At 37.3% G+C, this 20798-nt stretch overlaps 1 protein-coding gene, 1 long non-coding RNA gene and 1 pseudogene across 7 annotated transcripts in view; 2 read left to right on the top strand and 1 right to left on the bottom strand.

The window, feature by feature from the left end:
- Nucleotides 1-20798, top strand: part of SPHKAP (SPHK1 interactor, AKAP domain containing) — a 201733-nt gene that overhangs the window by 6848 nt on the left and 174087 nt on the right. For 2 of the 6 annotated variants that reach the window (XM_005246870.5, XM_011511925.3), the window contains exon 2: nucleotides 2328-2446. The exons of the other annotated variants lie outside the window; for them this stretch is intronic. The gene's annotated coding sequence lies outside the window, so the exon portion shown is untranslated. The remainder of the gene's footprint in view (nucleotides 1-2327; nucleotides 2447-20798) is intronic. 6 annotated transcript variants of the gene reach the window in all.
- RNU6-624P (RNA, U6 small nuclear 624, pseudogene) lies at nucleotides 4991-5097 on the bottom strand (annotated as a pseudogene).
- On the top strand, nucleotides 5239-12873 carry LOC107985993 (uncharacterized). The gene is made up of 2 exons (XR_001739909.2): nucleotides 5239-11094; nucleotides 12562-12873. It is a non-coding gene; the product is annotated as an uncharacterized LOC107985993 (long non-coding RNA).

Raw genomic sequence — 20798 nt, 5'->3', positions numbered from 1 at the left:
ACTAATCATGCGAGCTTGCATGCCATCTGCCTTTTCCATCAGAACCATTTAAATTATAATCATGATTTGTAATTCCCTGCCATATAGTTCCAACATCTCTGCCATACCTAGGTCTGGTTCTGTTGGTTGCTTCATCCCTTGGAAGTGTTTTTCTATTTTCCTTGCTTTTCAACAGGGCTGGTAATTTTTTGTTGAAAGCCAAAAATCTTGTGTAAAATAATAGTATCTCCAAATGGAAACTGGAAGTCAGCGTCATATTCCCATGTTAAAGACGAGGAACGAAGACTGAGAAAAGTTAAACGACTTGTCAAAGTTTACTCATGTAGTGAGTGACCGAGCCAGAACTTGGTCTCTAGGATTTCAAACTCAAAGTCTAATGTTAACTCCATCACTGTTCCTCTCAGTTTTCTAATGCCAGTACATTTCCACTCCGGAGTCCTTCAAGACCTTCTCATGCCACATAGCTTTGTTTATTTCAGACATTTTTCACCCCAAATTCTGAGAACGTCATTGAAGCATATGAGAAAAAAAAAAAAGGTTCCTGCCTATGTTTATCTTACTATGTAATCTCAAGATATCACTTTCTTTCTGAATATCTTTTGATTCAGTCTTTCTCAAAATACGGTCTCTGAATTAAAAGCAGCTACAAAGATGGGTGGATGCTATAAGAGGCTTTGACACAGCCACAGGAAGCAATGGAAACACAGGGAGTGACAGCCAACAAAGTTTAGCATGTGAATTAGAAAGTTTGTATCTGTTCCCAATAGAGCTAAGAATTCAGACACTAAAGCCTCTACCTGCACACCAAGCCACATTTCTCCTTAAGGTAGAAGAGGTGACATATTCTGCCACATGGATTAACAGAGTTTTTCTCCAAAGAAAATAACAATAACATGCAGACCAATGTGCCTCCTTTTATTCCTTTTAACTACATATTACAGAGCCAAATTATTGAAATAGTGTATGAACTTGTTAGAGTAGCCATGGTTTTTGAAGTACAAGTTAGTTCAAAAAACATAAAGGCATCGTATTGCTTTTCTATTGCTGCTTTTTAAAATTGTCAGAAAATGAGTGGCTTAAAACAATACATTTATCATCTCACAGTTCTGTAGGTCAGAAGTCTGACATGGATCTCACTGGGATAAAATCAAGGTGCCGCCAGGGCTGCATTCCTTTCTGGAGGTTTCGCAGGAGAAATGGTCTTATTGCTATTTCCAGCTCCCGGAGGCTGCTTACATTGCTTGCCTCATGACCACCTTTCTCCATCTACAAAGCTAGCAATGGAGGGTTGAGTCCTTTTCTCCCATCACACCATCTGACTTCTGACCTCCTTTTCTGCCTCCCTCCTTCAATTTTAATAAACCTTGTGATTACATCAGGTCACCTAGATAATCCAGCATAATCTTTATATTAAGATCAGCTGGCTAGTAAACTTAATTCCATCTTGAACCTTGATTTTGCTTTGTCATACAATGTCACATATACTACAGATTTCAGGAATTAAGATATGGATATCTTTGAGGGAGTTAATTATTCAGTCTACCATAGGCATTAATTGAACAAAAAACTGATCTTTCTGGCCATCAAATGACACATGAAATTCTACTAGGACTAATTTCTTTCTTGTTTCTTTCTCCTTGTTTCCTTCTTTCTTTCTTTATTAAATAAAAAGGAAGAGGGACAAGGCTATTTGTTCCTCCTCTGCCATACGTGAGTCATTCAGTGTGCCTGAGCTGAAACAACTAAAGATTATTCAAGAACATAAAACCAGATCAGGATGGACCTGGAAACCCTACCAAATTCACTCTTTGGCACATGTTTATTGCAGTGGTCATTAATGCTATTCAGCAAGTTTTCCAATTGTACTTCTAAGCATAGGGCAGGATTGTACTTGCTCTTCTTGATATAAGACATAGTGACATAATATGATTTGGCCAATGCAAAGTGCACAGAAGGGATATGTGTCTCTTCCAGTGTAAGTGTTAAAGATCTCATGTGTGACTTGCTTCATTTCTCTTACTTTCTGCCATGGTGACTAACAGATTTCAGGTTGTGGCTGTTCCAACAGCCTGAGTTTCAGAATGAGGTTGAATTGGAGCAGAGCCCCAAGCCAGTCCATGATGGACATGTAGCATGAGTAAGAAATGTAAATAAGGCTTTGTGGTCTTAATCCCCTGGGGTTTTGGAATTGTGTGATATTGTAGTATAACCTAGCCCATCCTGCCTGACCCAGCTACCCTCAGGGTTGAAATGGTGGGTGATCAGATAGGCTTTGCATTGGCTTGTGAAGATTTCCAAAGGATCTCACAGAACTCTTTTTGCTCTAGACTTCCAAAGACCCTTATCACTACCTAACAACATATTCCTGGATGTATTGATATGACGATGAAGTTGGAAGAAGGGAGAAATGAGTCTCACCCTGACCAGTTGTGCAAGTAGTCAGGAGGTATGTCCTATGGACCAGCTCCAGATAATAACAATAAATACCATGGCCTGTAGGCTTCTCCTAGAGACATGGAGTGTGAACTGGGAATCATACTTATCCTGTTATCAATTCACACATTGCCCATTTCATAGTCCACAATCTAGCTGCTGCTATTTAGGGATGGAATGGTGTTGTATCATATGCTTTTAACTCTTGCAAATACGGTGCTACATTATCATTTTCCTTTTTTTATTCTTTCATTTCTCTTTCATCCTCATATGATTAAAAATATAGTAAACATATTTAACTTGTACATTTATTATATATTATACATTCTTAAATAGGATATACACACACACAACTTTATAAGATTTTTTCACAAAATCCAACATACCATAATTTATAAGCCTCTTAAGAGATTTTCAAAGGTTATTTTGACTCCAAAAATTTTCAAGATAAACAATGACATTAGATGCTAAATCTCATGTTAGATGCATCTGTGCTAGGACTTCAGGGGTTGACAAAACACTGATTTTGGTAGCATGTCAATAGGAGTAAGAAGATTCAAGAGTCAATTGTCAGTCAACATTTATTGAGCAGACACTCTCTCCTGACACCTTCAAGACTCTCAATGGAGTAAGAAAGACCCAGTTCCTGCCTTCCTTACATTAACAGTGTGTGGGTCCAATTACACAGTGAGTACAGCTGGGGCCACAAATCAAAGGATGTAAAGAGACATGCTAGGAAGTAGATACCCAGTACACCAGGAAGTTGATACTCATTCCACTCTGAAATTAACTTTTCATTTCTTGTGATCTCTCGCAAATGAACCAAACTGATCAGTCCTTCTCTTATTTAATTCTTAGGAGAATTTGACATAATTGACAGGTGACCCCTAACTTAAAACTATTTCTTCCTAAGAAGAGACTCACCTATACAATATAAGCAAACTTATAAAAAGGCAAACTTGGCTTTTTAAATAGCAAGTGCTATTCTCTATGTTGGGAAAATGGGAACCCATTGGATGTGGGATATTAGAATTACAAAGGACTTGAGTGCAGGTCATCTTGCCCAGTCCCCTTCCTTTACAGATGAAGAAACCAAAGTCAAGAAAAGTTAAAGGAATTACTCAAATCACACAAATATTTAGAAGTTAAGCCAAGAATAAAATGATATGCAACAGATTGTACTTAAGACTGCACTGGATTTACTAAAAATAATAATAATAAATCTCCAAAACAAAATTGGAAGCACTTGAAATGTTCTGGTACAGAAAAACATGTCTATCATCCACGTCTAAATACCTTCTTTACTTTTCCATAAGAAAAAATAATGTCTATACAATTTCTCACCTCCTTATTTCACTTCAGCTGCCAGAAGTCCTAGAAACAAATTCAAAGCTCAATTATAACAGCAGTGTAGAAGTTTATGACCTGAGTATCTGTGTTGTTGTTAACCATGATATTGACCTCTTATTATAATTTCTAGTATTCTTAACTCTGAGTTCTAACTTGTGTTTTTCCGCTTTATTGCATATACCTTTTCTGTTAACTATCACAAATTCCTAGAGAAACAAGATGGAAAGGAGATATACCCCAGCGATATGGTAGGCTTGGTTCCAGAAAAATACAATAAAGTAAATATCATAATGAAGTAAGGCACAAAATTTTTTTGGTTTTCCAAGGGATTCAAAAGTTATGTGTACTTTATAGCATAGTATATAAAGTGTGTGATAGTATTATGTGTAAAACCATAATGTACATATCTTAATTTAAAAAAACTATATTAAAAAAGTGGTAATGATCATCTGAACCTTCAGAGAGTTATGATCTTTTGCTAGTGGTGGGTCTTGCCTTGACGTTGATGGCTGCCAACTAATCAGGGTGATTGTTGCTGAATATTGGGGTGGCTGTGCAAACTTCTTTAAATAAGAAAACAAAAATGCTTGCTCCACAGATTGACTCTGCTTTTCATGAAAAACTCCTCTGTAGCATACTATGCTGTTTGATAGCATTTTGCCCATAGTAGAACTTTCAAAATTAGAATCAATCCTCACAATCTCTGTCACTGCTTTATCAGTTAAGTTTATGCATTTAGAATACCTTATCAAATTAAGTTTTCTAAACTCTTTGTGGTCATTTCAACAATGTTCACAGCATCTTCACCAGGAGTAGGCTCCATCGCAAACAAACAAACAAAAAAATTTATTTGCTCATCCATAAGAAGCACTTCCTCATTTGTTCAAGTTTTATCATGAGATTGCAGCAATTAAGTCATATCTTCAGACTCCATTTTTAATTCTAGTTCTTACTATTTCTATCAAATTTGCAATTACTTTAGCCACTGAAGCCTTGAACCCCTCAATGTCATCCATGAAAGTTGAAATCAACATCTTCCAGACTCTCATTAATGTTGATATTTCGGCCTCCTCATGAATCATGAATGTTCATAATAGCATCTAGAATGCTGAATTATTTCCAGAAGATTTTTAATTTACTTTGCCCAGATCCATCAGAGGAATCACTATGTATGGCAACTATACCCTTGTAATTTTTTTTAATTTTCAAAAATATGGAATTCTTCAAGAATTTTCATGTCATTCCTGTGCTGGGCCCATGCTAATCTTCTCTGTATCATTCTAATTTTAATAAACATGCTGTGTAAGCAAGCACAAAATGTACTTTTTAAATCATAAGACTTGAAAATCGAAATTACTCCTTGATCCTTGGGCTACAGAATGGATGTTATGTAAGCAGGCATAAAAACAACATTAATTTTCTTCTACAACTTCATCAGAGCTCTTGGGTGACAAGGTACATTGTCAATGAGCAGTAACATTTTGCAAGAAATATTTTTCTAAGCAACAGGTCTCAGTGGGCTTAAAATAAACAGCAAACTGTGCTGTAAACAGACATGCTATCATCCAGGCTTTGTTCCATTTACAGAGCACAGGCAGAGTAGATTTATCATAAATCTTAAGGGCCCTAGGATTTTTGGAACAGTAAATGAGCATTAGCTTCCAGTTAAAGTCACCAGCTGCATTAGCACTTAAAAAGTGAGTCAGCTTGTCTTCTGAAGCTTTGAAGCCGGGCATTGACTTCTCCTCTCTAGCTATGAAAGTCCTAGATGGCATCTTGTTCTAATGTAAGGATTTTTCATTTACATTGAAAATCTGTTGTTTATTGAAGCCACCTTCATCAATAATCTTTGCTAAATATTCTGGATAGTTTTCTGCAGCTTCTCCATCAGCACTTGCTGCTTGACTTTGCACTTCTATATATGGAGACAGTTTCTTTCGTTAAACCTCATGAACCAACCTCTGCTGGCTTCAAACTTTTCTTCTGCAGCTTCCTCACCTCTTCCAAACTTCATAGAATTGAAGAGAGTGAGGGCCTTGCTCTGGATTAGGCTTTGCCTTAAGGGAATGTTGTGGTTGGCTTGATTGTATGTCCAGAACACTCAGACTTTCTCCATATCAGCAATTAGGCTGTTTCTTTTTCTTATCATTCGTATATTCCCTGGATTATCACTTTTAATTTCCTTCAAGCACTTTTTCCTTTGCATTCACAATGTGGCTAACTGCTTGATGCAAGAGGGCTAGCTTTTGGCCTGTCTCAGCTTTCAATATCCCTTCCTCACTTCATCATACCCAGTTTTAGATGTAAGGTGAGATATGTGTGACTTTTCCTTTCATTTGAAGATCTACAGGCCATTTCAGAGTCATTAACTGGTCTGACATCAATATTATTTTGTCTTGGAGAATAGAGAGACCCAAGGAGAGGAAAAAAGAAGGGGTAACTTCCAGTCAGTGGAACAACAATCAGACAACCATTTGTCGATTAAGTTTGCCTTCTTGTATAGCCATGGTGTGTGGTGCCCCAAAATAATCACAATAGTAACATCAAAGATCACTAATCACAGATCACCATAATAGCTGTAATATTAATAATGACAAATTTTAAAATATTGCAAGAATTTTCAAAACGTAACACACAGACATTAAGGGAACACATGTTGTTTGGAAAAATGATGCCAATAGGATTACTGGATGCACAATTTCAACAAACCTTCCATTTATAACACAGTATCTGCAGAGCATAGTAAAGTGCAGTAAAATGAGGTCTGTCTATATCCATTATTAAATCAATTAGTCTATAGAGCAATCATTTTCTTTAAAACAACAGAAAAAATAATTTTCTTGTGGCAAGTTGGAGCTCATAAAATTATGGTCTATTCATATTTAATTTGCCTTTCATGATAAACTGTATATAAAAAGTTGTAAGTAGTTTCTTTGAAATGATTAGTGCATTAAAGTAAATCAGCTGTTTTAAAATAAATATATAATAAGATAGAATGCTAAAGTTTTGTTAGATATTTTCCTAAATTATTCGTTAAGTGTAATATTACATATACATTTTAAATATGTGTGCATATATATCAGTGTATACTAAAGGTATTCATGTATGAGCATGTCTTTTTCAGTTGGTACATTTTATACTTTAGTGTATTTTTCTCAGATATTACAATGAATTAAATCATACAGTAGAAACTTTAAAATATTTAGTACTGCTGCCAAAGATACTAAGAGAATTGATTATTTCCTTTCTATATACTTCAGTGTTAATGTAAGTTACATAACATACCTTATTTCTTTTTGTCCTACAAGCCTATAATTTTGAACTAAGAACATAAAAAGAATTCAGTAAATTACTTTTGGTAGACTGCGTATACGAATAGACTTACCCACTTATTTTCACCTGAATACATAATTCTTCCACTTAATTTACATAGAAAAATGCATTAAAGAATTTATCTGGGTAATTCAAACCAAAAATAAAACTCAGATAAAAATAAATTAAGAACCCATTGAAGTCATTTTTCTCTAAGCAAAATCTTGGCCCCATATAATGTGTTCATTGCTGACTCATGGATTTAATATATCCTGAATATTTTTAATTTTTACTTCAACTTTTTAAATAAATGAATCAACAGTGCTTCAATATAGTGATTAAAAAGGTACGTTGACTTCACTTGTGTTAATTATCAGTAGATCGGTGATCTGATCTGGCATTCTGTTACACTATTAGTATTTCTGTCTTTGCAAACGTGAAAAAAAATGTGGTGACTTCATGAGAATCAGGTAATATAGAAAATTAGCTGCAGTTTCATCACATGGATCGTTATAAAAAGTATCCAAGAAAGAGATTCACTATTCAGAGAACATCCTAACTAGAGAAGTTGTTATCACAATTGATATAGTTTGGATGTATGTCCCCACCCAAACCTCCTGCTGAAATTTAACCCTCAGTGTTGGAGGTGAGGCCTGGTGGGAAGTGATTGGATCATGGGGCCGGGTTTTTCATGAATGGTTTAGCACCATCCTCTTGGTGCTGTCCTCGTGATAGTGAGTTCTCCCAAAATCTGGTTGTGTGAAAGTGTATGGCACCCTCCCCTCTCTCTCTGGATCCTGCTCTCACCATGTGTTGTGCTAGCTCCCACTTTGCTTTCTGCCATGACTGTAAACTTCCAGAAAACTTTCTGGAAGCACATGCCAGTTCTATGCTTCCTGTACATCCCGCAGAACTGTGAGCCAATTAAACCTGCTTTCTTTATAAATCACTAGGTCTCAGGTATTTCTTCATAGCAATGCAAGAATGATACAATAACCATAATAACACTCAGCTCTTATAGATCATAGTCATTCATCATGCAGAAGAAATGTGTGAAAATATTAATGATAACATTTTCCTCAGTATTTCTATTGTGTCAAAGACATTTTCCACAGGATAAATAAGAACATATATAAAGAATGAGGCAGGAAAGGAGAAGATATGATACAAGTTTTAACCTTGAAAATTAATTATATAAGACTGGCATGAATGATTGAGAGTGGGCAAAAAATCAGGGGAACAGCTTACTTAACTTATTTGAAAGGAAGAGATAAAACCTAGTGACTTGAATTTAGTCTTCATTATGTGTGGGCGCATAAAACTTGGAAAAAGGCATGTGAAGTAAATTTACTACAAGGAGGTCTAGGTGTCATACTAAATGTTGAACAAGGTTAATATGTTTGGGCATTTCTCTTTCAAAATAATATAAGGGAAATTAGTTCATTTTGTCAATAGTTTTTAAGTAAATATGAATTATGTAATAAACAATGAATTAGGTGTTGATTAATAGATCATAATTTTCCCTTCAAAATTGTATGTAAACATGGCCCTTGTGTCACAAGATCATAAACACCTCATAAACAGCCTCATCAATTTTGCCAGTACTCCCTTTAATTCTTTGATTCTCAGATCTGTCTCTTTGAGGCACCTATCATGTCATAGTCCTCGTGGATTTTCTCCTCTTCTGACATTAACTGTTCTCACTCTGCCAGACTCATTTGGTGGTAGTTTGACATGTGATTAAAGAGTTCCGTAATGTTACTTTCTTCTTTTTTTGGAAATCCTTCATCTTCCTCAAAGTTTGCCATTCCAGTTGATTAGCATTTTACTTAAATAAAAATCATAACCTCTTAAAGAATCAACAGGCAACAACCACCAAATATGTTGATGCAATGGACAGAGAGACATTCAAGGTAGGTGGGGTGAGAACTTTACTGGAAACTAATTGTTAAATGTTCAGTACATTAGTTAAGACAACTCTTGCTTTCTTACACAATCTTGTAATTGCAGAGACTGGCTTAACAATAACAAGGACACTTGATCTTTTGGGGGATAATTTGCAATCACTTTAAGTTTATCAGATTTTCTCCAGGGAATGACATTGCCAAAAATCATTTTTATTTTCACAAAGGTTATCTGTAGAGGAGTGAGTTATCTCACTAAGCAATGCAGGTGCAGTTGAATATTTCAAAAACTCAGTCCTCTAAGAAATGTTCTAAAGTAGTTAATATTACAGAGGTCTTTATGTTTCCAAAATACCTTAAAATTATTATTCTATTTTTAATGCACTGGTAGTTATTTCAACTGAATGTATGAAAGGCACCAAACGGTGTTCCAGGAAGAAAGCAGGCCCTTGATAAATATCAATACCCTTCTCTTCCCTTTGGATAAGACCACAGTGTTATTCAAAGTCTAAAAGACAGCACATAGATCAATTGGATTAGAACTGTGTAGTGGGACTTCTAACAGTGTTTGAAGTGACCAGGACTTTGGGGAAATGGATACATGTCTAGTCTGACAGAGTTACCGAGTCACTCATTGACCCCTGTAGTGGGTTCCAAATGCCTGTGAGATGGGTAAAAAAAAAAAAAATGCTGCCACAGAAACAAGTCTCTTTATAGAGAGTTAAGGTCTAATATAAAATAGATATAAGCCTTGGCAAAACAGAATCCATTCATACTTTTATTTATTCAGTACTAATATTGATCCTTTACTGTATATCAGATAATATCAGCTGAAATGCAATAATGAACACAAGTAGAGTCCACCCCCTTCTCATGGTACCAATGGAGAGAAAGACAATGACATCAGTGGACATATAGCAAATTGACATGTGTGCGCCAAGAAAAGGGAACATGGTCTTTAAGAACATATGACAATGAACAAGACTTAAGCACGAGAGCAAAGCAGAGTGCATTCTCATGAGGAAGAGTGCTCTGGCAGCCAGACCAGCAGTTGAAAGAGTCCAGAGGCAGGAGAGCAATTGAGCGTTTAAAGAGCTCTAGGTGTGTGCCTGAAGTACAGGAAATGAGGGAGAGATGAGTGACAATGAGACCTGAAAGGTAGGGGCCAGAATAGGTTAAGCCTTGGGGACCATTGGGTATTCCTCCTAAAAACAATGTGATGTCACTGATGGTTTTCAATGTAGAGGTGGCTGGAAGCCCTAATTCATATAAAGGTTGTAGCCCAGTGTGTGGCATATTGTAAATGCTTCATAAACAGAAACTGTTACTATTGTAATAATCACTGTTGAAACTATAACTTCAATACCACAATGTTTGGGGGCTGTATTAGTCAGGGCTTTCCAGAGGGACAGCATTAATAGGACATATGTATACATGAAAGGGAGTTTATTAGGGAGAACTGGCTCACACGATCACAAGGCAAAGGCCCACAATAGGACATCTGCAAGCTGAGGAAGAAAGAAGCCAGTAGTGGCTCAGTCAAAGTCTGAAAGTCTCCAGACCAGGGAAGCCAACAGTGCAGCCTTCAGCCTGTGGTTGAAGGCCTGAGAGGCCCTGGCAAACCACTGGTGTTAAGTCCAAGGGTCCAAAGGCTGAAGAACCTGCAGGCTGATGTCCAAGGGCAGAAGGAAGCATCCAGCCCAGGAGAAAGAAGGAAACCAGAAGACTCAGCAAGGGAAGTTATCCCATCTTCTTCTACCTGCTTTGTTTTTGCTGTGCTGGCAAGCCAATTGGATGGTGCCCACCCACACTGGGAGTGGGTCTTCCTCTCCCAGTCCACTGACCCAAATATCAATCCCCTCTGGCAACACCCTCACAGGCACACCCAAGAACAATACTCTACCAGCCATCAAGGCATCTTTCAATCCAATCAAGTTGACAGCTAATATTAACCATCACAGGGGCATTCCTGGGGAGAGCTAATATTACAGGATCACCAGAATAGGATTATTCAAAAGTGGCAGCTGTCATTAAGATGACATTTTAAAAGCATCTTATTGAGTTTCAAGGACATCTGGAAACAGTCACCCAACAGGTTGGTCATACGTCATGCAAATAAGAAGGCAACCCAGACTATCCCAAAGGGCTTCTTCATAATATTTGTTGCTATATTGCCATGTTCTCAACAGCACATAGCAAGGGAGGTGGAAATACTGCCCACACCTGCAAACACCCATGTTGACCTGTGTACGTTATAAATAGGTACAATTGCTCCTCTTCAATATTACTGAGGAAAGGATGGAGTGGGATAAAATAAGGAGTAAACGAGAGAGAGAATATGCAGATAAGATGAGGAGGAGGAGCTGGTAGTGGGTCACTTAGTACCTTAGTCTGCATCTTGCATAGTGAACATAAAAGCTATTGGAATTCAATCAAAAAATTTTTGCCCCTAACATTTGATACATGTATAATAAATATTATTTCTTTATTCTAATTAAATCTCTCTCTCTCTCTCGTTTTCTCTCTCTCATCTCTCTGTCTCCCTGGATCCCCATGCCACTCAGTTGGCTTAATAATTGCAGTCATTCACTGGGGTAGTGCAAAAATCTAAAACCTACCAGAAAAACATTGGGTTGTGTTGGTAATCCCCAGCCTGTCATTGTTGCTGCTGATATCCAGTTGCTCACCGACATGCAATTGCTTTCTGCTCACTTTAAAAGTGGGACAGCAAGATTTTGTCTGAGAGCCCCAGTGCTTAATAATTCTGTTTCTGTGGCTGTAACAAAGCTGTTCCTCCCAGTTTTGCTACCTCCTCATGGTACTGGCTTTAAGAAGGGCTTTGTGGCCAGGCACGTGACTCACACCTGTAATCACAGCACTTTGGGAGGCCGAGCTGGATGGATCAACTGAGGTCAGGAGTTTGAGACCAGCCTGACCAACATGGTGAAACCCCATCTCTACTAAAATTACAAAAATTAGCCAGGTGTGGTGGCACATGCCTGTAATCCCAGCTACTTGGGAGGCTGAGGCAGGAGAATCACCTGAACCCGGGAGGCGGAGGTGGCTGTGAGCCAAGATTGCGCCATTGCACTCCAGCCTGGGCAACAAGAGTAAAACTCCGTCTAAAAAAATAAATAAATAAATAAAAAGAAGGGCTTTGTTTCCTCTCCTATGTATTCTGCCAACCTGTGTCCCTCCCATCCTGTTACCTCTCAAAGTCAGATTAATATAGCAATATATAATGTATGTGTGCTATACAATCCCTGTTGTCAGTATTAACAACTAATTTCATTGAACACTTTTCATTGCATGTTGACAACTTTTGAATAGCTGCATGAATATAATTTATTTAAAATTGCCAAACCACTGGTCTTGTTCAAGTTTAAACTAAGATAAAGCTTACCAATCAGTAATTAAGGGGAAGGATCCACTTGATTTGGCCAGTTAGAATACTTCAAATATAAGAGACATTTCCACAAGATATTACTTATATCAGAATTGATACCTGAAATTTAACTATTAATAAATTCTCTAATTTAGCTCTTTTGATTCTGAAATGCAGATATAAAAAGGCAGGAAGCATCTGAAGAGTTTCTCATTCTGGAGATCAACCTGTTTCTCCAACCTCATTTGTTTGGAAGGAAAGTACACAGAAGCAGCAAACCTCAGCCTCTGAAGGGGCCCAACTCCTGACTCTACATGGCTCAAGGGTTATTTCTTAGCAAAGAATATGTATAGGTTACAACCAACATCTATCAAAAATAAAAACAAAGCAAATTCCTAGTAATTGGTAAATGCCTTCTATTTTCTATTGACTCCTTCCTCTGGGCCATGATTATTTTGTTAATAAATTGTACTTCTGAAGGAATATGAACTTGAACCATGCTCTGATTTAATAATGCAATAGATAGAAAGCCTAGGAATATTTCTGAATATAGTACTGGCAATGCTATAAACAAGGCATTTCAACTGATTACCACATACTTAATAGGACATAAAAGCTTGGAGTCCGAGGTGGCAAAAACAAACAAACATTTCAATCAAGGGCAATTTGTAAGAGTGGATTAGATGCAATGTGGATTTGTACTTCTAAGCAAACATGTATTTTATTTTATTTTATTTTATTTTATTTTGTTCTATTTTTAGTTCCAAGGTGCACGTGCAGGACATGCAGGTTTGTTACATAGGTAAACGTGTGCCATGGTGGTTTGCTGCACCTATCAACCCACCACCTAGGTATTAAGCCCAGCATGCATTAAGTATTTTTCCTGATGCTCTCCCTCCCTCACCCCTCTGACAGTGTGTATTGTTCCCCTCCCTGTGTCCACGTGTTCTCATTGTTAAGCTCCCACTTTTAAGCGAGAATATGCAGTGTTTGGTTTTCTGTTCTCTGAGCAAATATCTTACGAACTTTTTTCTTCACTGATGGCTGAAACTCATGCAGCAAATGAAAATATCATTGTTTCTAGATTGGGCCAACTCAGTAGCCTCCCACTTACATCTGCTCTGAACACCTCAAAGGTCTCATGTGAGCTCACCCTGTCTTCCTATCCAGGCTTTTCCTGACTTTCACATTCTCTCACTGTCTACGCAGTAGCTAGACTGACCTACTTTTAGTCATTCCTACCTACTGGGTCTCTTTACCTAGCTAATTCCTATTCATCCTTTATAAGCCAGACTCCCAGTGAAGCTTTCCCTGGACTTCCTTTACTAAGTCAAATCCCTGCTAAGTATCAGTGCCTCACAGTTCATGACAGTGACACATTTGTACTTGTTTATGTGATTATTTGTTTAACACCTACCTTATCCACTCACTGTGAGCTTGTTGAAAGGAAGATTCATCTAAGTTTTGTCACTCTTGCATCTACAGTGCCTCATCGCATTTGACACAATGTCAGATCTGACAAATGTTCGTTAGACAAATAAATGAAACATAAATGTTATCTGGGCCAAGTTTACCTGTGAGCGCAGAGAACTCAGATGCTAATATCTTATTTGGAAGGCCAAGAAAGTCAGTATAAGGACAGGGACACTGAGTTCAGAGCACTGAAAATAAGTATTTATTAACTCACAAATATGCAGAGGTTTAAAATATGTTGAAAAAGTTCACCTAAAAGCAGTCATTGTCCCATCAAGTATCTTTGATTGGTGATATGATTTAGCTGTGTCCCCACCCAAATCTTATCTTGAATTGTAATTCTCATAATCCCCAAGTGTCATGGGAGGGATCTGGTGGGAGTTAATTAAATCATAGGGGCGATTACCCCCCATGCTGCTGTTCTCATGATAGTGAGTGAGTTCTCACAAGGTCTGATGGTTTTATAAGGGGCTTTTCCCTCTTTGCTCGATGCTTCTCCATCCTGCCATCATGTGAAGAAGGACATGTTTCCTTCCCCTTCTGCCATGATTGTAAGTTTCCTGAGGACTTCTTCAGCCATTTGGAACTGTGAGTCAATTAAACCTCTTTCCTGTATAAATTACCCAGTCTCAGGCAGTTCTTTATAGCAGTGTGAGAACAGACTAATACAATTGGTATATAAAAGTTTACCGGTAACAAAGTAAATATATTAAAGTATTTCATTCAGAAGGTACTCATAGATCTAGCTAAAGAACATTTAAATTGTATAATCATGGGGAAGATGGACATGATTGATACAATATTCTACCTCCCCTGCTTCCATGCCAGATTCCACTGACAGCATCAATTCTCATGTTCATTGAAAACTCCAAATTAAGCTAAACTTCCTCCACTCTAATTTGTATTTTGGCTGATTTCTGTCTTCTTCAAAGTGATGGAGGTTTTTCTGTTAAAGATCTTGTTTGGCAGCTGAGGATAGGGAATGTCAGGTTCCCTTGACTTCCTCTCCAAATGAACAAGAAGCTCCTGGCTCCAGGCTCCTAGCCCCAGAACAGATTCCTAGTAGCAGTCAACAAACCACAGATTGGTCTGGAAGGAGACTGCAAAGATGCCCTTACATAAAAATTAGTTCCACAGACATAGTGATGATGACACAGAGGCAAAATACATAGTTCTCTGTGGTGAGAAAGTAGAGCAGAGACGAAGGGAAGGGCTTGATGATTGAAGCCCCCTGTAGTCTATAGAAGATGACCTTAATATGTCCCTCAGTTTGGCCAAACTTCACATATACTTCCTGACTCTAGGCCCAGATCTCCATTTTCTTAAAGCAGTTTCTCTAGAAAATGTGTAATTGTAAGTTATTTCTTTAACCTTTTGTGACATAAATCCTTTTAAAAGCCTCTTTTCAATTTTATAACCCAGGGATGTCTTTCTTTAAAGACCCGGGAGCCACCTCCTTGAAATGCAAACATGCAGGGAGATAGCATCCCATCTTCCAGTTTCTGTGGGAGGGTAGGAGCCTAACTTCTGTGGGTGCGTTGTTTCCAGTTGCAGTTTTGCAAGCCCCTCCTCTCATGAAGATACGAGAAAGTTTACTTTTCCTTTAGATAAGGCCAGTTAACAAACACAGATGGCCTACGGTTTTCATTCTCACCCCCAACCCTGCTCTTAAAAACTCCCCTGCTCTTTGTTTAAGCAGAAATGAGTTCCATTTCCTATTTAAGAAATGGAGTTCTCCTTCATTGCAATAGCCTCAAATAAAGTCTTTCTTATCTATTTAACTTTGGTACAATTTTTGCCTTCACACCATATTTAGGAAACTGGACAGTGTCTGAGTTGGTAAAGGCAGGGTGGGACAGCAGGGGAGAGCTCAGAGTCGGGAGAGGATGGACCCTACAGTCCAGACTGGAACCCTGACTCCATCACCGCCCATTGGTAAATTACTTCATCCCTCAGTCTTGGTTTCTTCATCTCTGCCACATAAGGACGGACTGAATCCATTCAGTGATATTAAGAACAGAAAGAAGGGGACGGAATGCAAGACATATTCGGAGAGCAAAATTGGAAGTATTTGGTATTTGATTGGGGTGAGGGAAAAGAGATTCAAGGGTAAATTCAATTTTTCTTTAGTTTAGATAATTTGGGCTAATTGTAATGCCAAAAACTGAGCAGCAAAGTCCTAGGGAAAGGCAGAGCAGACTGAAATAAGTTGTATTTGAAATAGATGTGAAATATGTAGATGTAGACATCCAACATGCCATTGGGTATTCAAATCTGAAGCTCAAGAGAAAGATCTGCAGTGAGAATATAAATCTAGACTGAAAATCTTAGAGGTATGGGATCACTTGGGTGAACTAGTTAAGAATAGCTCTCCCTTTTTCATTCCCAATTCTATTCTTCTTGAATTTTGAATCTTTTTATATTTTTCTTATTTTCCCAGTGGGCCCTAAGTTCACTCCATAGAATTGGCCAGAGAATTCAGTGTCTCAGACTTTGACCTTTCATACTCCCAAGGACACAATTTAAACTTGTCTCTGGTTCTTCCCACTCCTGGCTACTTTAACCACTTTCAGACTGGAGCTGGGATGCAATTGCTCTCTTGGCACTATTGTAAGGGGTAAAATCACATAGACTGTGCTAAAAAAAAAAAAAAAAAGAAAGAAGTAAATTACAATTACAATTATCTTATATATGTGTATTGTATTTCCACACAGCCTCTCTGGTCTTAAAAAGAGCAAAGTGGGTAAAGAATGCAGATAGTGGACAATTTGGGCAGTAAATTAGAGTTGCTTGAATGTATGGTCAACATTGAACAGAATGCTGATGAATTTCACTGAATAATGGCTCAATTCTCCATGCTGCTTTGCTTGAGTGCACAGTCATGGAAGAAATGAATCTGTGTGTTGTCCATTCTGCTGCACACTTCTTGACCTTTTCCAAGTGTGTCAGTCACAGTGAGCTTCATTAAGCTTGACATGCTGTTGTGCCCTTGGCATTTCCACATTGGTCTCATGCATTCTACAGCAGGCTAATAACCATGGCTTAATAAAAAGTAAAACTATCTAAAACTTGGTGCCTTGTTTCCTTGGTGACATTTTTTTTTCTTTTAAGACTCATAATTATCCAACTTGAACAAAACAACTACTACACCTCTGTGGCCACCTAAACAGTCTGAAAATATTTTGCCCTCCATGTTTTACTTCTAAAACTCTCCAATGAAGGCATTTCCTGCAACTGTAAAACAGACTTATGTACTACCCCTTAGCTTTCCTCCGTAAGCTTCCCCGCAAAATGACACCTCCTTTACCCCCATACTCATAAACCAAGGTAGTAGAAGTGCCTGCAATGAGACAAATAGACTCAGAATCCCTCTGAAAGAGAAGTCTATTAAAAAAACGACAACTAAAAAGGAGTAATAACAGGTGTACTATTGCTAATTATCCAGCTGCTCCATTCCATTCTTATTAATTGGGTCCTGCCTTTTTCTTTTTTGAGGCTATGAGTAGAAAACCTTGGAATATTCAAATATACATTCAATCTTTCAGATCATTTGAATTTTTATTTCCATGATATTCAATATACAGCTCTCTGGAAACATGTAATTTACTTTTGGTGCTGTGTAGGCAGTATTTTGTAATGGAAAAATCCCAAGGCATGAAATTGAAAGACCTGGGTTTTAAGATCATATTCTATGACCTACTGTGTGACTTTGGCAAAATTAGTTGACTACTCTGAATGTGTTTATTAATGTTTCCTGACCTGATTCTTATTATTTGTGTACAAAGAAAACTATCAACTTATGTGAAAATATTTACTTTATAAGAGTAATATTCAAATGTTATTTTCCTTCATATCTTACATATTTTACTTTTATTTATTTTATTGCTTTTCTGTCTCTCTTCTCTAGTACAACATAAACTCCACGAAGGTAGGGATGTTTGTCTGCTTTATTTACTGCAGTATCTTGAGCTCCTTGCACTGTGCTTGCTGCCCAGTAGCTGTATTAATCTGTTCTCAAGCAGCTAATAAAGACATACCTAAGACTGGGTAATTTATAAAGGAAAGAGGTTTAATTGACTCACAGTTCCATATGGCTGGGGAGGCCTCACAATCATGGCAGAAGGCAAAGAGGAGCAAAGCCACGTCTTACATGGTGACAAGCAAAGAGGGCATGTGCAAGGGACCTCCCCTTTATAAAGCCATCAGACCTCGTGAGACTTAGTCGCTATCATAAGAACAGTACAGAAAAGACCTACTCCCATGATTCAATTACCTCTCACAGGGTCCCTCCCACAACACAAGGGAATTATAGGAGCTACAATTCAGGATGAGATTTGGGTGGGGACACAGCCAAACCATATCAGTAGCTATTTGTTGAAAGAATAAAAGAATGAACATGCACACAGATTTCTACTTGGTTTTACAATTGCTTAGAAAGGATTATGTTCTTTCTGATTGTTGTACTTTTAAGTTGTTTATGGAACTGTTAACAAATCATTAGAAAGATATCCCATTTTGATTGAGTGTTTAAGGAGAAATGAAATGCCTGTGTATTTATAGAAGACTTTACCTTAGAAAATGAGGAGCTCAGAAGTAAATTTGAATCAGTGACAAGAAGGCCCGGGACATATAACCATGACAATTTATTGCTGCACTGGTAATTTTGCTTAAAGCAATAAACTTCATTCCATCTACAGTGGAGAAGAATTGAGCCAGTACATTAGGAACACTAATAAAAATAAAGTATCCTCTCAGTTCCTGTGGCTATTTTATCACAACTGGAATGTAACTACATGTGAAACATATATGTCGGATTTGGGGGGCAATTATCATGTAAACACTAAAAGTATACATAAAAGATCTTATTACAAAGTAGGTCTTGAGGGAAAAATAAGAGTCTTTTTCTCTTAGTGGGCACATTTTAGTTTAAATCCTTCACAAGGGAAGACATTTCTAACCACAATGCTCTTCTATATAGGACACATTCAGTTCCACTCTGCCTAGAAGCTGGCTAATAAACTGGATGACCTGCTGAGATTTCTCCCTGAGCTACAACAAACACCAGCTCCTAAATTTTGAGATTTTGCTTTGTCCTCTTTGCTTGCATCACACAGAAGCTCTCTTGCCTGTTTGCAACTATTATTTGCAACAAATATTACATTTATAGGATTTCTCTCAAAGATATATGTATAGCACTTTTGGACATTTTAGGAATAAGAGAAGCATTGTTTTAAAGTACTAAGACATCTGGAAGTCTCTTTACATAATCACCATAGTTGGACTTGCTCACTTTTTGCTCTTAATTCAGTTTTCTCAGTGGCATCTAATGAGGCAACAGCATAAACCTGCTATGCCAATGGCTATATTGTCCTAATAATGAGGAAACTCCTCATCTGCTCAGCCTCGGGAAAATTTCATGCTCTGCTTCCTCCAGAAAAGATGAAATGTGGTTTCCAGGAGCAAGTCAAAGTTTCTTGAACTTTGGCTATTTGGAAATATATGGAGTTATAAAACCTGAAACACATACTTATATCATATCCGGTTTATGGTCTTTATAGTGAGTAAACTTTTTCTGTTTTTATGATTTATATGGAGCATAATGCTTCAGGTTGCCATTAATAATAGTTGCATATAGGTTATGGCTGTTTAATTATCTCCATTTCAATTATTTTATTACTCAATTACTTTATTAATGATCTACCTTTAGAAAGCAAATAATTCTTACTCCACGAACTTTTGTCTCACCCAAAAAAAAAAATGAACAATGGTAACTGCTGAATGAATAAAAAGGGTAATCATTGTTAACCATTAAACAGATGTACTGGTCCCATCTCAGGTATTGATTTCATCTTCTGAAAGAAAATGAATTGGGCAAAGGTACAGCTAGGAACTAAATAAGAAAACTTTCAGTGAAACCACAATAATTGAGGTTAACTTGGATGAAAAAGTATAATTAAACACCTTGCTAATGCCTAATGGTACCTGGGAAATGCATTGTAATTAGAAATATAACTTACACAAAAAGGAGGAATGTTGCTATACCATTTTTTAAAAATGGTTTTCTTGGGTGAGTTAAATAATAACCCTTTTGAATGGGTAATGGGCTTAAAAATAGTTTATTTATGGCTGGGCAAGGTAGCTCAAGACTGTAATCCCAGCACTTTGGGAGGCTGAGGTGGGCAGATCACGAGGTCAGGAGATAGAGACCATCCTGGCTAACATGGTGAAACCCCGTCTCTAATGAAAATACAAAAAAAAAAAAAAAAATTAGCCAGGCATGGTGGCAGGCGCCTGTACTCCCAGCTACTCGGGAGGCTGAGGTAGGAGAATGGCGTGAACCTGGGAGGTAGAGCTTACAGTGAGCCTAGATCGTGCCACTGCACTCCAGCCTGGGTGACAGAGCGAGACTCCATCTCAAAAAAAAAAAAAAAAAAAAAAAAAAAAAAAAAATATATATATATATATATATAGAGAGAGAGAGAGAGAGAGAGAGAGAGAGAGTTTATTTACAAATTGTACAAAAATAGAATTTAATAAGTAATATTGACTATTCTAAGTTCTAAAGTGCTGTCCAAATTAAAACTACCATTTTTAACTAATTTTTTTCTTCAAATATAAAAACTAAGGGGAATTCTATAAAATCTCCCTAATATTCTTTACAAGTTAAGAATGTTTTAAATGTTGATTTGGCTCACATACTTTTTTTTCATGAAATGGAAAATGCAGGTATATTTTCCCCTTGTAAGTGCAATGTCTTTAAACATTACAGTTTAGGACTTACATGAAGATTTGCATTTTGTCTGTCGTTTTATTAATTATTTATTTATTTACTTTTGGTTGAGTGAATTTATGTGAGAAAAGAGAAAGTAGATGGTTGATTCTATTTTTCATTTTTGCATCTCATTCTAAAATCTGATCATTTTTAAGTTGCTTTTTTAACT

The sequence above is a fragment of the Homo sapiens genome, chromosome 2, assembly GCF_000001405.40.
Source record: "Homo sapiens chromosome 2, GRCh38.p14 Primary Assembly".
Lineage (NCBI taxonomy): Eukaryota > Metazoa > Chordata > Mammalia > Primates > Hominidae > Homo > Homo sapiens.
This window is presented reverse-complemented; position numbering and strand designations above follow the sequence as displayed.